Consider the following 15486-nt stretch of genomic DNA (forward strand, 5'->3'; position numbering starts at 1 on the left):
GAGACTCCGTCTCAAAAAAAAAAAAAAAAAAGAGAGAGAGAGAGATGGGGGTTTCATGCTGGGTGCAGCGGCTCACACCTGTAATCCCAGCACTTTGGGAGGCTGAGGGAAGTGGATCGCCTGAGGTCAGGAGTTTGAGACCAGCCTGGCCAACATGGTGAAACCCCATCTCTACTAATAATATAAAAATAAGCCAGGCATGGTGGTACACGCCTGTAATCCCAGCTACTTGGGAGGCTGAGGCAGGAGAATCGCTTGAACCTGGGATGCAGAGGTTGCAATGAGCCAAGATTGTGCCATTGCACTCCAGCCTGGGCAACAAGAGCGACACTCCATCTCCAGAAAAAAAAGAGATGGGGTCTCACTCTGTTGCTGAGGATGGTGTGCAGTGAAGCTATTAATATCATTGCTCACTGCAGCTTCCAGCTGCTGGGTTCAAGTGATCCTCCCACCTCAGCTCCAAGTAGCAGGGACTACAGGTGTGCATCATCAAGCTGGGCTAATTTTTAAATATTTTGTAGAAATGGGATCTTACTATGCTGCCCAGGCTAGCCTCAAACTTCTGACCTCAAGGGATTTCTGCCTCAGCCTCCCAGAGTGCTGGGATTACAGGAGTGAGCCACCATGCCCGGCTTATATTGGACTTTGTAATGTGCTTCCCCATATTTGCCTCACTGGTTGACAAGCTGCTTGCTAAATGGATAGCTCTGGTTGTGCTTGTCTTCTCTGCTGTGAGGACCCTCTCAGGCATGGCCTCCATTGCACCTGCCAGACCAGTTCTCAAGCCAGCCCAACCTGACCTTGACCATGGAGTCTCTGTCTCCTCTCACCTTTTCCAGACTCAGAGATAGCACTGTGCCTCACTCCAGCTATGACTTCCCCAGGGGTCCCCTGGAGGGGTCTTTGGTGACACAGCCCAGGAGTGCTAGAGAGTTGAATTAGTCCATTTTCATGCTGCTGATAAAGACATACCTGAGACTGAGTAATTTACAAAGAAAAAGAGATTTAATGGACTCACAGTTCCATGTGGCTGGGGAGGCCTCACAATCATGGCAGAAGGCAAAAGGCATGTCTTACATGGCGGCAGGCATGGGAGAAAAATGAGAGCCACGCAAAAGGGTTTTTTTCTTATAAAACCAGCAGAACTTGTGAGACTTAATCACTACCATGAGAAGAATATGGGGTAAACTGCCCCCATGATTTAATTATATCCCACTGGATCCCTCCCACAACATGTGGGAATTCTGACAGCTACAATTTGAGATGAGATTTGGGTGGGGACACAGCCAAACCATATCGAGAGTTATCACCCTGTGAGGTCTACCCTGACCAAAGAGGGACAAGAGGTACAAAAAAGCCAGCACATGAATTTACCCTCTCACTCCTTGGTGGACCACTCTGTGCACCACAAATTATGGTCCATATGGCCCAACCATGCAACCCATAAAGCTGTGGTCAGCTCCCTATTGCACCATTTTGTTTTGTTTTGTTTTCTTTTTTTTTTTTTTTGGTAGGGGGGCGGCGGGGGGACAGGGTCCTGCTCTGTAGCCCAGGCTGGAGTGCAATGATATGATCACAGCTCACGGCAGCCTTGACTTCCTGGGCTCAAGCAGTCTTCCCACCTCATCCTCCTGAGTAGCTGGGACTACAGGTATGCGCCACCGTGACTGGCTAATTTTTACATTTTTGTAGAGAAAGAGTCTCTCTATGTTGCCCAGACTGGTCTTGAACTCCTGGCCTCAAATGATCCTCCCACCTCAGTCTCCTGAAGTGCTGGGATTACAGGTCTGAGCCACTGCACCTAGCTTAATGCTTTGTATTTGCTTTTTCTCCTTCTTTTTGACTCTCTCTCTCTTGCTGCTCTGGAATTGTATCTCCTCCCTTCTAATAAAACGTTAGCCTATTTAAAAAAACACCCTTCTAAGGCCCCCCAACATCCTTAGGACACAAAACCACAGTCTTCATGCAGCTTCTAAGGCTCTGCCCATTCTAGCCTCTGTCCCTCTCTATCCTCTCTCCTTGCTTCATCTGCCCCTATAGAAACCTCTCACCAGACTCTTCTGCCTTGAGACTCTCGCCCAGGCCGTGCCTCTGCCTGGAATCCTCTCTTCCCTCCCTTCTATGTGTGTTTTTGTTTTGTTTTGTTTTGTTTTGTGTTTTTTGAGATGGAGTCTCACTCTGTTGCCCAGGCTGGAGTGCAGTGGTGCGATCTTGGCTCGCTGCAACCTCCACCTCCCAGGTTCAAGCGATTCTCCTGCCTCAGCCTCCCGAGTAGATGGGATTACAGGTGCCCACCACCAGGCCAGGCTAATTTTTTTGACTCGCCCCTGGTTCCTCATTGTATTATTTAAGTTCTGGCCTTCCAGTCTCCACCTCTCAAGATGGAACATTCTCTCAAATCCTCACATGTGGTCATCCCTGCATGCTGACATCTGTTGAGGAGGCCCTGTCATTGTCTCTGCTCTCAGATATGGCATGGTATCAGTTAGGATTGTGTTCCACTGCAAATAATTGTTGTCCTGACTTACAGTGAGTTAAACCCGTGGTTCTCAATGTCTGGTCCCCAGATTGACAGCATCAGTATCACCTGGGTACTTGTTAGAAGTGAACATTCTCGGCCAGGCACGGTGGCTCACGCCTGTAATCCCAGCACTTTGGGAGGCCAAGGCGGGAAGATCACTTTAGTCCAGGAGTTTAAGACCAGCCTGGGTAACATGGTGAAACCTGACTCTACTAAAAATACAAAAATATTAGGCGGGCTTGGTGGCATATGCTTGTAGTCCCAGCTACTCAGAGGGACTGAGGTAGGGAGGATTTCTTGAGCCCAGGATGGGGCTCTGTCACCCACCTCCCTTTTGCAATGAGGCATGAAGAGGATCTGGAAAGGCAGTATACAATACTGGATGCATCCTATTTACCAAACTTGGTAACATCATGGCCCCACCTAGCTTTTCTCCCCCATCTCAGTGAGAGTTTCCTTGAAAAATCTCATCTTGGGTGGAGTGCAGGGGCTCATGCCTGTAATCTCAGCGCCTTGGGTGGCTGAGGTGGAAGGATCACTTGTGGCCAGGAGTTGGAGACTAGCCTGGGCAACACAGTGAGACCCTATCACTACAAAAGAGTTTTTTTAAATAGCCAGACACAGTGGCATGCACATGTAGTCTCAGCTACTTGGGAGGCTGAGGCAGGAGGATCTCTCTTGAACCCAGGAGTATGAGGCTGCAGTGAGCTATGATCATGCTGCTGCACTCCAGCGTGGGTGACAGAGCAAGATCTTGTCTCCAAAAAAAAAAAAAAAAAAAAAAGGAAAAAAGAAAAGAAAGAAAGAAAATCTCATCTTGAATAAAAAGATAACAAATGCTGATACAATATGTATTCTCCAAAATCTCTCTGATTTATACCAGGAATGCACCTTAAAAGCCAAACATTTGAAGTCTTTTTTCTCTGACTCTGTTCTTGAAGCAATGGAAGCATCAAATGTAGTGGTCCGGAGGAGGTGGAGGTGGAGGGAGTGGTGCTGAGTTGAAGAGAGAACGAGGGAGGGTGGAAGGCGCTGAATACTTGACAGTATCCTGTCAAATCCGGGATGACTTCATAAACACTAGCTGCTGTTTGCAAAAACATCTTTGGAAGAGAAACTGTACAGATGTTAAAGTGTGTTGGTGGGGGGTGTCTCCCCTAATGCTATGTCTGCAAAGTCCAAAATAGCAATGTGCCAAGAAATCTCTCTCCAACCCAGTTATTTCAAGAGGAAACCTGGTGGAGTGGATGGAATAGTGGGGTAAGAATCAAAAGAATTGGTTTCTCTGTCCAGATCTGCCACTGCCTACCTGGGTAATCACAGTCAAGTCACATCGTCTCTTTGAATCTTGGATTATGGAGCCGGTAAAATGGGAGTGAAAACACCCTCTTTGGCTACATGGTATGTATTTTTGTACCCATTTTATGGATAAGGGTTGTAGGGGTCAAACTAAAGGCATATAAAAGTACTTTGGGCCAGGTCCAGTGGCTCAGACCTGTAATCCCAGCACTTTGAGAGACTGAGGTAGGAGGCTTGCTTGAGTCCGGAAGTTCAAGACTAGCCTGAGCAACTTAGCAAGACCTTGTCTCTACTAAATAAAATAAAGCATATAAGCTACAGGCATATAAAAGTACTTTGGGCCAGGTGCAGTGGCTCACATCTGTAATCCCAGCACCTTGAGAGACTGAGGTAGGAGGCTTGCTTGAGGCCAGGAGTTCAAGACCAGCCTGGGCAACATAGCAAGACCCTGTCTCTACAAAATAAATAAATTAATTAAACAAGTACGATTTTTTTAATTAGGAGACAAAGTACTTTGAAATGAAACAGGGATTATACAAATGAAAGGTCATATAAGTACCATTATCTTCTTTCTTACAATCTAAAGAAAGAGATCATTATTTTCTTTAACAGAACTGGGTTGTTTTCGTTGCTGTTGTTTTGCCCAGTTAAATTTCAATCACGTTTCTAGACTTACTCTACGGTTTTCTCTTCAGACATTTCAAAGAGGTTAGAGAAACAAAATTAAGAGGTTAGGGAAATAAGAAATAACAGAAAAGTATGTTTTGCATGTAACTCAGTAGGTTATTTTAGGTCAAGTATGTCCTTACTGAGTCCCTGCCTACTTGATATCAGTTACTGAGAGAGGGATATTGAAGTCTCCAACTGCGATAGTGGATTTGTCTACTTCTTCTTGCAGTTCTCTCAGTTTTTGCCTTATGTGTTTTCATTGGTGATTAGGTATACAAACATTTAGGATAGTTAGATCTTCTTAACTTATAGAGAATTGCCCTCCTTATCATAATGTAATACCTTTCTTCATCCCTAATCAGGTTACTTGTTCTGAAGTCAGCTTCATCTGAAATTAACAGAGCTACTCTAGCTTGCTTTTGACTGGTATCAGTATGGTGTATTTTTGTTTATGTCTCTCTGCTTTTTCTTTCTTTTTCTTCCTTTTATTTTTAGTTGACATGAAATAATTGTCCATAGTTATGGGATATAGAATGATATTTCAACACATGTCTACAGTGCGTAATGATCAAATCATGGTAATTAGCATATTCATCACCTCACACATTTACTTTTAACCTACTTGACTCTTTATATTTAAAGTGGGTCTCCTGTAAACAACATATAATTGGGTGGCTTTTTAAATCTACTATGACAAACTCTGTCTTTTAAATTCATATATTTAGACCATTCACATTTAAAGTGATTATCGATTTAATTGGATTGATAGCTACCATGCTTGTAACCATTTTCTACTCATTATATTTTGTTCCTTTTTCCTTCCTCTTTTTCTGGCTTTTCCGGTTTTAATCAAGCATTTTATATCTTAGCATATCAAGCATACTTCTTTTGTAAAACATTTCAGTGGTTGCCCTAGAGTTTCTGATTTACATTTTTAACTAATTAAGTCTGCTTCCAAGTAACACTAAACCACTTCACATGTAGTGCAGGTACCTTAGATTATTCCCAATTTATCCTTCTCATCCCCTGTGATATTACCATCATTCATTTTACTTACCTGTATGCTGTAATCACCAAATACCAGGTCTCTCACTCTCAGGCAAATTCACACTCTGCCTCCAGCAAGTCATCAAAATTATTATTTAAGTTTTTCTACTAGTTGATCATTCTGTTGTCATCAGGTTCAGGTAAACAGATCTTGGCTATGTCTCTTTGGATTTTCCTCTCTCTCCAGATGTCAAGCTGGCAGTTTGCCTGAAACCTTTATTCTCTGAGGGACCCAAGAAAAGTCACAAATTTTCAGTTTGTTTGGTTTTTACTTTTTGTGAAGGATGGGAATGATGACTTCCAAGCTCTTCATGTGTCGGAGCTGAAATTGGAAGTAGTCCAGCAGATTGGTTTACATCATGGAGACTGTAGTTGTGTTTGCTGATTTTCAAAAGCATTCAAGCCTCAGCTCAGGCATGCTTCATCCAACTAGCCAATTCTGGACTAAAAAGAGAGAGAGAGTATTTTCTAACCCACATGAAAGAGATCATTTAATCCTCCAATCTGATCTGAGGGCCCCAGACATGGGGTTACTTGCACAAAGCAAGAACAATTAAGTCCCTGCTTTGTGTTGGTTACAACCTCAATGACATTGGTGTCATTGTTTCAGGACACAGCTGACATTTTTCAGTACAGACACCTCAACTCCCTACCCTAAGCAAGGACTGGACTGTACAAATTCATCTCCCAGATAATCACTATTATTTATACTCTTATCCACCCAACAGCTCACCAGAATTAAACTTCTCTGTCCAAAAAAATTTTTAAATCAAGGATTTGGTTATAATATGCACTTTAAAGACACTTAGGCAAATTGTTGGCTTAAAAAAGAAGAAGAAGAATTCTGATTTCTCCAGAACTCTATCAACTCGCACTCCCTGACTGGCAGCTCCACACAATGAGAACTGATGCTCACATTAATGACCCTCCAACGCTATAAGATCCTGGAGAGCCTTTGAATCACCCAAGAAAGATTAAATTATGTTCAGTAGTGCTTTAGCATTAAGTGCATTTTATACTGTATTCCACATCTACAGAATTTGATCTTTTACAGGAGGCACAAGGTGACTCTCTTATTGTCCAGGTTCTGATTCATTTCAGCTCAGTTTGAATTACAAAGGTTTACTAAATACCTACTGCTCATCCCAAACTATGGTACACACTGGAAGGTATATTCCATTTATTTGTGGAGCTTACAATGTCATGATTTAAACAAAAAAAAGCAAACAGGCCAACAGAACAATACACATCTTATAACCATGGTACTCAGCACATGCAAGAGTTGATTGGATGAGTGTGTTTGCTCAATGACCTATAAACACAGTGCTAGACAGGCACAGAGACAAGAGTAATCAGAGAATGTGACACGAGGAGAAAATATTTCCACTCAGCTATGTAAGATGATCAGGACTCTGGCAGTCAGTAAAGTGGAGGAAAGTATTTGAACAATAGGGAAAGTGATGAGAAATTCCAGGAAATGGACAAAATCCTGGTATTTCTGGAATATGTGGGTAAGAAATGCCCTAACAGACAACTCTTAGACAACCAGCTGCAGGTACCTGCTAGTGGGGCCAAAGTGCCCAGAAGAGCTGCAGGCCAAGGTGAAATGAGCAATGCCCCATGTTCTGTGGTGAGATCTATGCAAACCTACTGCCAAAGTCTATGGAAACTGAGACCAAAGAAAGAGGCAGATAAATCCAGCTTCTCAGAAAATAACATTTAACAGGAACTTATGAACAGAAGCCATGTTTCAGGAGGATTCGAGATGGTTGGATCCCTGCGCTATTACCCCCCAGACCCAGGGCTTATATACCACAGAGTATTGCCTAAGGGCAAGATAAATAGTAAATGTGTGTCTGCAATAACATCAATGTTGCTTTTACCTAAGGGCAGGATTTACAGTAAGTAAATGCTCTTACATAAGGAACCGTAGATAAAATAGAAATCTTAGCAGTATCCCCAGAACTAGGGTTAATCAGAAGTCAACATGGTGGATTAGCATCCAAGATGGAGTTGCTTTAGCCTCCATGACCCATATGGGTGCACTGCATCTCTTCTACAAGGAAAATAGGGCTGGAGTTCAGAGAGGGCAACAGAGCAAGGAGGAGGAGAAAAGAGTTGTTAGAAGTTAGAGATATGCTGTCCCTAGGGTCATGGTGAACCCCAGCTTCATTTGGGGAGTCCATACCCTGACACAATCATAGGAACCAGAGGCTTGGGCAGTTGTAAAACGCTCAGAGAGTATGTTAAGCACACATATACACATAGACACGTCCACATCAGAGGTGACGTCTGCAGTTGGTCTTGGTGCCCTAAGTCCACTAGGCATGTGCTTACTCATGTGCCTGTCCACTTGCATCTCCCCATTCCCCACTGCCTTTGTCTTTGTCCCATCTATATGATTGGTTCTCGTGGGCCATGTGCTTCCTCATTAGGATCAGACTTGTCTTAGTCTGTTCAGGCTGCTATAACAGAATACCTACACTGGGTAGCTTAAACAACAAGTCATTTCTCATGATTCTGGAGGCTGAGAAGTCCAAGATCAAGGTGCCAGCCTGTTTAGTTCCTGGTGAGGGCTCTTTTCCTGGTTTGCAGACTGCTGCCTTCTTGTTCAATCTACACATTGCAAGGGAAGATGAATCTGGTGTCTCTTTCTCTTCTTGTAAAGACACTAATTCCATCACCAGGGCCTCAACTCATGGCCTCATCTAAACCTAATCACCTCCACTTCTGAATACCATCACAGTGAGATTAGAATGTCAACATATGAATTTGTGAGAATGGAGAGGAACGCAAACATTCAGCCCATAAAAAGACCTTTCCTTGAAGCCCAGAGAGCTTGGCTGGGTCCTTTCCACCTTGTCTAATTCTTGCCAGACCCATGTTTCTGCAGTTAGGACCCTGCCTGGAAAGCCTTTGCTACCGCCTAGACTCCTGCCCAGGTGGGATAAGACATTTACAACCGAAGCCCTGACACTCACCATACTTTAATAAATGTCACTCTCCAAAGACCTCTGCAGCAAACCCAAAGCCCTCGCATTTGGGAATTCTTTGGGGACTACAGGCAGCCCCAATGAAGTCAGTTTACCTGTATCCCTTGGGCTCTGTCATTTGAACAAATGGCTCTCTCTTCCCCCATCGCCATACCCCTGTAGAGCCAGCCCTGCAGTCGGGTTAATGCATCCCACCCCCCAACCCCTTCACAATCTCCACTGCTTCCTTCTCTGGTTTGGTCCATTTTGCAAAATAGCTTGTTTTTTGTTGTTGTTTTCTTTTTGTTTTTTGTTTATGTGTTCGTTTGTTTTGAGACGAAGTCTCGCTCTTGTCCCCCAGGCTGGAGTGCAATGGCGCAATCTCGGCTCACTGCAACCTCTGCCTTAACGGGTTCAAGCAATTTTCCTGCCTCAGCCTCCCAAGTGGCTCAGATTACAGGCGCCTGCCACCACGCCTGGCTAATTTTTGTATTTTTAGTAGAGATGGAGTTTCACCATGTCGGCCAGACTGGTCTCAAACTCCTGACCTCAGGTGATCCGCCCACCTTGGCCTCCCAAAGTGCTGGGATCCCACAGGCACGAGCCACCGCGCCCGGCCAAAAGAGCTTGTTTTTATGCACTCATCTGTTCAGTCAATGTTCATTAGCACCTGTCACATGTCAGGCATTGCTGGGATTCAGGAGTGAGTAAGAGAGCATGCCTTATAGGTGGCATCCAATGCAGAAATCCCTGTTCTCTAAAAGAGGCAAAAAAGTACATATGCAGAGATTTACTAACAGGAGAGCACTAGCATGCTGGGTCCAACACAGACTGCAGCTGGTACCAGGCAAGTGAGTCAGTATCCTCCCCCAGCAAAAAAAAAAAAAAAAATATATATACACACACACACACACACACACACACACACACACACACACACACACATATATATATATATATATATATATAAAAAATATAAAAGCATTTCTACAACCAAGACTGTAGGAGGCAAAATGAAGAAACAGACCAGGCCTTGAATTAATGATGGTTCTAAGCTCATTAGTGGTTCCCAGTTGACATGAGGCAGCCTAACAGCTTGGTCCAGCTTCCCAGCACCCAGGATCTGAGGACAGATGCATCAGTGGGAGGCAGCTTTCCCATGGTGAGGCTCTGTGGAAGCATTTGCCACATCAGAGAGCTCTTAAAATGCTCGGTTGGAGAAGCCGCCGGGTCATATCTAAAAAGCTATGTGCTTGGCACTGAGTCTGGTGGGGCCTGATTCATACAGAAACCCCTGAGAGCCATGGACAAGAGTGTTTACAGACTTAGAAAACCCTGCATGCTCTTGTAATTTTTTTTTCTTCTCCCCTGAGAAAAGTAGGAGTTAAGAGATTTATGGAACCTCTTGATTTATGGGAGACTCAGCCCTCCTCCCCTGATGGCCTCTCTCCAGGGCATTCCCATTTGTTCACATGGGAGAAGAGAGGCAGTTCCAGGCTCCCTTGCATGGAGAGAGAAACAGCATTTCCCCTGGACACACAGCATACTTTAGCCAGAAATCCCACAGCACTTTCTAAAACCATGAGCAATAATGATAGCATCCTGAGTGCCTCTGACAAGCTATCAGGCTTGGCTGTGTTTCCCCACTAAACCAGCATAGCACAGCCCCTGCCTCTGGGAGCTTGAATTGGCTTAGAGACTAGATTTCCTCATCTTAGATCCTAGATTTTCCTGCCTGGCACATCAACTAGGGGCAATATCATGTTGCATTCTCTTACTCCCAAAACCTGGAAAGAGTGAGACAAAAGCTGGTGCAAGCTTGGTCTGTGAGTCCTACCTTCCCCGGGAGATGCCTACGGTGGCATGAACTTGTCAAGGAGGCAGAGAAGGTCCCTCCATCACATGACCAAATGAGACTTCCCTAACTGTAATACCAAGTCCTGCCACCCTCCGAGGGATGTTTCATTACTTTGCTCCCTTTGCAGATGTGGGAACAAAAGTACAGAATTTTTTAAGAGAAAGGATCTTGCTCTGTCACCCAGGTTGGTGTGCAGTGGTGCAATCACAGCTCACTGCAGCCTCAAACTCCTTGGCTCAAGCAATCTTCCTGCCGCAGCCTCCCGAGTCATGGAACTACAGGTGTCTGCAGCCACACCTGGCTAATTTTTATTATTTGTTGTAGAGATGGGGGGGTCTCACTATGTTACCCAGGCTGGTCTTGAACTCCCAACCTCAAGTGATCCTCCCACCTCAGCCTCACAAAGTGCTGGGATTACAGAACTGTGCCACCAAGCCTGGTCTGGGAAGCCAGATTGATTCTGGTCTTGCCCAGTGTCACACAGCTAGTAAAGAGTGGGGCAAGATTTGAACCCCAACACCCACTTAAGTAGGCATCCCTTCTACTCCCCTGATTCCCAGCCCCATGTTTCCCAGACCATAAGAGAGCAATTCCCAGGGCCTTCTTCTGGGATCCCAGCTGGTATGAGTCTGAGGTCTCCGGAGGGCTTACCAGATCCCCTCACCGAGCCCTTGGAGGCCCTGGGATGAAAGTGATTATGCTAAGAATGAACATTTTTTTCCTGTTAGATTGTCCATTTTTTGCCTTTCAGCACGTTCCTCGTTTCAGTCATTCCTTTTCCTTTCCAGACCCCAGGAGCCAGAAATAAACACAGGCAGTCTTCGCATTGATGTAAATAACCATTGGCTTTATTGAACCCATCTGCTCAGGCTGTGGGTTGAAATCATAGCTCTGGAGTGTTTTCCACTCCTTGGGCATTTGGGAAGTTTAGCTGCTACCCTGCCTGGGCAAGTTTGTTGGGCTCCTTCAAGAAAGACCTTCACTACAGAAGCCATGGGTTCATTTCCTTGCTATCCTCAGGACTCAGGAGTCTAGCCCTTTTCTCCCCATTTAATTAATGCATATATTTATTTAGACACAGGATCTTGCTCTGTCTCCCAGGCTGGAGTGGGGTGGTGTGATCACAGCTCATGGCAGCCTTGAACTCCTGGGCTCAAGCAATCCTCCCTTCTCAGCCTCCCAAGTAGCTGGGACTACAGGTGTGCTCCACAACTCCTGGCTAATGTTTTAATTTTTTTTTTTAAGATGGTGTCTCACTATATTGCCCAGGCTGTTCTCAAACTCCTAGCCTCAAGCAGTCTTCCTGCCTCAGCTTCCCAAGTATCTGGGACTACAGGTGCACACAACCATGCCTGGCTAACTTCTGAAATCTTTTGTAGAGAAGGGTTCTCACTATGTTGGCCATACTGGTCTCAAACTCCTGGGCTCAAGCGATCCGCCCGCCTCAGCCTCCCAAAGTGCTTGTCTTACAGGCCTCAGCCACCACACCTGGCCCCTCTTCTGCTCATTAACAGTCATCTTCCCTCTCACTTTTTCTCTCTTCTGGCACCCCTAGAAGCTGCCTCCTGCCTCCCAGTCTTGCAGACTGCTTGGCCCCATCAATCTGTCCTGGGACCTTGAGTTCAAGGACAGACAGAACGAATGGCTGCAACGCATAGCCACAGCCTCTAGCACCCATCAGCCCACTGTGGCCCTATGTTGATGTCCCATGCTTCTACACTTTATACGGGGCCCTCTTCTCTTGTAATAACAATTAACAACCAGGCGCCATGGCTCACGCCTGTAATCCCAACACTGGGAGGCCGAGACAGGCGGATCACCAAGTCAGGAGTTCGAGACCAGCCTGGCCAACATGGTGAAACCCTGTCTCTACTAAAAAAAAAAAAAAAAGCCAGGCGTGGTGGCACACACCTGTAATCCTAGCTACTCAGGAGGCTGACACAGGAGAATTGCTTGAACCCAGGAGGTGCAGATTGCAGTGAGCCAAGATCACACCACTGCACTCCAGCCTGGGTGACAGAGTGAGACTCCATCTCAAAATAATAATAATAATAATAATAATAATAATAATAATTAACAGAGCAGCTAAGTGCATCAGACACTTGTTATATGCTAGGTGCTGCCATAAGCCCTATGCAAGTATTGTTTTTTCATCCTCACAATCACTCCAGGGAACTGAGGTACTGACAGTGATGAGGTAATTTGCCCAAGATCACAGAGCTAGCAGGAGGTTCACCTGGGATTTCAACCCAAGAAGTCTGGTTCTCGGGCTGGGGTTCTTTTCTATAGAAAAACTCAGCTTTGAAGCATGCAGGTCTCCACACCCCACTGGTCTAGAAGCCCCAGCTGGGGGTCGGAGCCCATGTTTTTGGTCATGTGTGGTTGAATTTTTGTTTTCTTATTTCTGGTTCCCCTTTGTTTTCTGGTTTTCGTTTGTTTGTTTGCCTCTCTCTCCTTCATTTCCTACTTCCCCTGACCGTAACTCATGACTTGAGCCTTTACTGCAATCGATGGCCTGGTCCTCACTCTGTTTTTCTCTCTTGCCCCACATTCAGTCAGTAGCCACGTCCTATGGATTCATTCATTTCAGAAATATTTAGTGAGCACCTACTATATGCCAAGCACACAGTAGGTGAACAAGATACATGGAGTCTCTGTACGTGGGGCACTTTTTAGCAGCAGCAAATCCACATGAGTCTACAGCAACCTCAATTCTTGTCTCCTCGGAAGAAATAATTCTACCAAGGAGCATAAGGCACAGGAAGAGATTGAGGCAAGTTTTAGAGCAGGAATGAAAGTTTATTCAAAAGCTTTACAGCAGGAATGAAAGGAAGTAAAGTACACTTGGAAGAGGACCACACAGCGACTTCAGAGATCAAGTGCAGTTTGACCTTGGACTTGGGGTTTTATAGGTTGGCCTGCTTCCGGAGGGTTGCATCCCTTCTCCCCTGATTCTTCCCATGGGGTGGGCTGTCCACATGCACAGTGGCCTTCCAGCATCTGGGAGGGGCCGCATGCACAGTGTGTTTCCTGAAATTGTATGCATGCTCACTTGAGGTGTTCTTCCCTTACCAGTCAAGTTTTCCTAGAGGAAGGTCATAGACCAGTGAAACTCAGCCATTTTGCCTCTTAGGGTGCATGCTTGAGCCCACTCACCCAACTCCTGAGGTCTTATTGGGAAGCTGCTGATCACCAGTTTCAGGTTTTTCCTGTCTATGGGGAAACTGCCTTTCCCTGGCACTGGCTGTGACCAATTATATTTTAGAGAGACAGCTTAACAGCCACCCGCCTGCCCATCACCTGCTGGCTGCCTGACATTGCTGGGTTTGGAGTGGGGGTGTCCTCTCCTGCTGTGCTCATGTCTGCCTGACTGCCTGCTGGAACACTCTCAGTACGGTTGTTCTGCCTCTTGTCTCTCACACCCACTGGCTCAGAAACCAATACCCCAAAATATGGCATTTAGACATGCTGAAATGAAGGAGCTTCAAGGTCTCTCTAGCCTCCCCACCTCCACACCTGAGAAGCTGAAATTCCTTTATCTGCCTGAGATCCAGAACCACCAGGGAGAACAGCTGTTTTTCTTTCCCCTCTGTCTATCTCATTGTCTATTGCAGAAAAGGAGACCAAGACATAACCACACCTGAACAGACCCTTTTACAAGTATGAGGATTGTCTCCAATGATCATTTAAATTCCAAAGAGAACTATTTACAAGTTCCCCAATCCATTCATTCTCCCTAGTAATCCCCTCAACAGAATTCTTCTCCCTGCTCCTTTTCCATAACCTGTTTTACCAGGATCCAGGCCTCCATTCTTTCTGTAACCTCAAAATGGTCTATAAGCTTCTGGTCTTCAACTCCTGACCTCAAGCAATCCTCCTGCCTGGGCCTCCCAAAGTGCTAGGATTACAAGCATGAGCCATTGTGCCCTGCCAAGATGGCATACAATCTTCTGTAACTCACTGGGGTGTTGGGTCTTTATTCTGAAGGCCCTTGTGTATACATGTTAAATAAATTTGTATGCCTTTTCTCCTAGTAATCAATCTGCCTTATGTCAGTGATTTTCAATAAACCTTTAGGGGGATAAAGCCTTTGTAAAGGCTGGTGGATCTGCCTAAATCTCTTCCACCATAGAGCAGCCTGGATCACTCACTCACCTCCATTTAGGCTTTCCTCAAATGTCACTTTCTAAGCAAGGCCTAGCTTGTCTACCATATTTAAAACTGCACCTCACCCCTGTACTCCTGTTACCCTCCTGTGCTTTTTATGTTACCCAGAATAATTTGTTATACATGAATTTATTTACTATATGTATTGTATTTTATATTATATATTAAATAATATATCTTTATTACATTTATCATATTATAAAAATGTATTATATTTATACTTATTGTTTTAAGTGGAGATTTATTCTCTCTCCACTAACTCAGTAAGCTCCTTGTGAATGGGAATCTTTATTTTGCTCACAGACATATTCCAATGATATGTTTTCGCTGTGTCCCCACCCAAATCTCATGTTGAATTGTAGCTCCTGTAATTCCCATGTGTCATGGGAAGGGCCCAATGGAAGGTAATTGAATCATGGGGATGGGTCTTTCCCATACTGTTCTCATGGTAGTGAACAAGTCTCAAGAGATCTGATGGTTTTATAAAGGGGAGTTTCCCTGCACAAGCTCTCTCTTGCCTGCCGCCATGTGAGACATGCCTTTCACCTTCTGCCATGATTGTGAAGCCTCCCCAGCCATGTAGAACTGTGAGTCCATTAAACCTCTTTTTCTTTATAAATTACCCAGTCTCAGGTATGTCTTTATCAGCAGCATGAGAGCAGACTAATACACCCAAGCACCTAAACTGGTACCTGATGCATAGAAGATGCTCAGTAAGTATTTGTGGACTAATGAATAAATGTGTGAATGGATGGGATATATGTCTTCAGCCCTAGCTGATGCTTTGTGCATCATAGGCGTTTAATTATTGCTTACTGAAGGGAAAAGCTCCACAATCAGATCCAGTTCACGTTCTTGATGACAGCAGCCCTGGAAAAACCAGTGTTTGCTATGATCTCATTCTTCCTGCTTGAATTTTTATTCTTAGAGACAGGGTCTTTCTGTGTCACCCA

This window comes from Homo sapiens, chromosome 7, assembly GCF_000001405.40.
Source record: "Homo sapiens chromosome 7, GRCh38.p14 Primary Assembly".
In the NCBI taxonomy this organism is placed as follows: Eukaryota; Metazoa; Chordata; class Mammalia; order Primates; family Hominidae; genus Homo; species Homo sapiens.